This window comes from Homo sapiens, chromosome 1, assembly GCF_000001405.40.
Source record: "Homo sapiens chromosome 1, GRCh38.p14 Primary Assembly".
In the NCBI taxonomy this organism is placed as follows: domain Eukaryota; kingdom Metazoa; phylum Chordata; class Mammalia; order Primates; family Hominidae; genus Homo; species Homo sapiens.
Genome location: NC_000001.11, coordinates 203,456,184 through 203,458,330, shown reverse-complemented (window position 1 = coordinate 203,458,330; position 2,147 = coordinate 203,456,184). Strand labels below are relative to the sequence as shown.

General features: G+C 41.5%; 1 annotated feature.

The window, feature by feature from the left end:
* Positions 1,464-1,664: a silencer, noted in NCBI's record as "peak660 fragment used in MPRA reporter construct". NCBI's record gives its function as "represses an SCP1 promoter by STARR-seq MPRAs in K562 erythroleukemia cells {active_cell/tissue: K562}" and the evidence as "EXISTENCE:reporter gene assay evidence [ECO:0000049][PMID:32103011]".

Sequence of the window (2,147 nt, the reverse complement as noted above, 5' to 3'; positions counted from 1 at the left end):
ATGATAAAAGAAACGTAAAGAGCCACAGAGGACAGAGTGAGAAGAACCAACATATGTTTAATTAGGGTCTCAGAAACACAAGAGAGAGTAATTGCCAGAGACAATGCGTAGACAGATAACAACTGAAAATGTTCCAGAACTGATGAAAGAAACAAATATCAAATTTAAGGAGACAAATTCATCTCCAAAAGGATAAACAGATATCCCCATCCAGACACATTATTATGAAACTTGCGTAAATCCAAACACAAAAAACAATATTAAAGATAAATTATCTTAAACAAAATTTTTTGTTTGTTTTTTGTTTGTTTGTTTGTTTGAGATGGAGTTTCGCTCTTGTTGCCCAGGCTGGAGTGCAATGGCGTGATCTCGGCTCACCGCAACCTCTGCCTCCCAGATTCAAGTGAGTCTCCTGCCTCAGCCTCCCAAGTAGCTGGGATTACAGGCATGTACCACCACGCCCGGCTAATTTTGTATTTTTAGTAGAGACGGAGTTTCGCCATGTTGGCCAGGCTGGTCTTGAACTCCCAACCTCAGCTGATCTGCCCACCTTGGCCTCTCAAAGTGCTGGGCTTACAGGCATGAGCCACTGCACCCGCCCTAAACAAATTTTTAATATGTTGAAGGAAAATAACTGCCCACCTAAAATTCTTTTCTCAGTGAAAATACATTTCAACAGTGAGAGTGAAGTACAGATGCTTTCAGATGATAAAAATAAAGTAGAAAAACAACAAACAAAAATGTGTTTGCTACCAGCTGATTTCCTCTAAAGGAAATTCTATTCTTCGAGCAGAAGGGAAATGATCTTGGATGGAAAGTCTGAGAGGCAAGAAAGAATGAAAAGCAATAAAGTGGCAAATGTGTGGGTAATCCAAATGACCATCCATTGTAGAAAACAGTAACAGTAATGTCTTGTGAAGTCTAAAGTTTAAAGATATAATGGATTTCTCAAACTTGTAATGTCCAAACTGAGATCTCTGATATTTTCCTCCAGACCTAGTCCCATTATATTCTTCCCCATCTAAATAAATGGCAACTTCATTTTATCAATTGCCCAAATCTTGGAGTCATCTTTGGTCTCTTTCTCTCATCTCTCACATCAGCAAATCCTGTTAGACCTACTCAGTGGTGTGCTGAAACTGGCCTATGTTGACTCCCAAGAGCCAACAGTTACAAGTTTTAGAAATCTCATAAGCTGATTGACATCCTGTTGGTAGCTTGAAATCAGCCATGATGGGAATATTTACATCACAGAAATCAGCCAACCCCCATTCCCAAGAGCCAGTTGTTAAACCTTTGCCAGCACACCACTGGGTTTAGCTACAAACTACGTCGAGATTCTGATCACTTCTCACTACCTTCACAGCCACCACCCTAGTCCCAGCACTATTGTTGCAATAGTCTCTCAAAGGGTTTCCCCGCTTCCTCTCTTGCTTCTCTTCATTTCAGTCTCAACACAGCAGCAAGAACAATCCTGTTACTCCAGTGGCTTCCAATCTCAGAGGAAAACCCAAGGCTCTGGGCCCTTTGGCTTCCCCGTCCCCACTCCTCTTACTTCTCTGACTGTTAATCCTATTACTCGCCCTTCATTCACCCAGACCCTCTCACTCCCTTCCTATTTCTCAACCAATCCAGCACTCCCCTTTGGGCCTCAGGGTCTTTGTATTAGGTTGGTTGCAAAAGTAATTGCAGCTTTTTGCCCTTGAAAGTAATGGCAAAACCCCACAATTACTTTTGCACCAAACTAGTACGCCCTACTCCCTCCTTCTGGGTGTTCTTCCTAAGATCCTTCAGGGCTTTATCACATTTCACCTTCTTAGCAAGGCTGCCTCTGGCCACCCTACCTGAAATTGCAATACTCACACAAAACTTCTTAACCCCCTTTCGGCTTTATTTTCTCCCTAGCAGTGATTATTAACACATTATAAATTTTATAAATGAATCTTTGTGTTATGTCCTCTAATTAGAATGACAGCTCCATGAGGCTGGGGCTTTGTCTGTTTCTGTTGAGTTATATCTCATATTACCAAAACCAACTCTGACATATAGGTGCTCAATAAATAATCTTATTGTGTTGACCCACCCCAGGGGCATTTGAATTTTTAAATTCAGTTGGGGTGGGGAAGGTTTTATCTGGGCTTTATTGG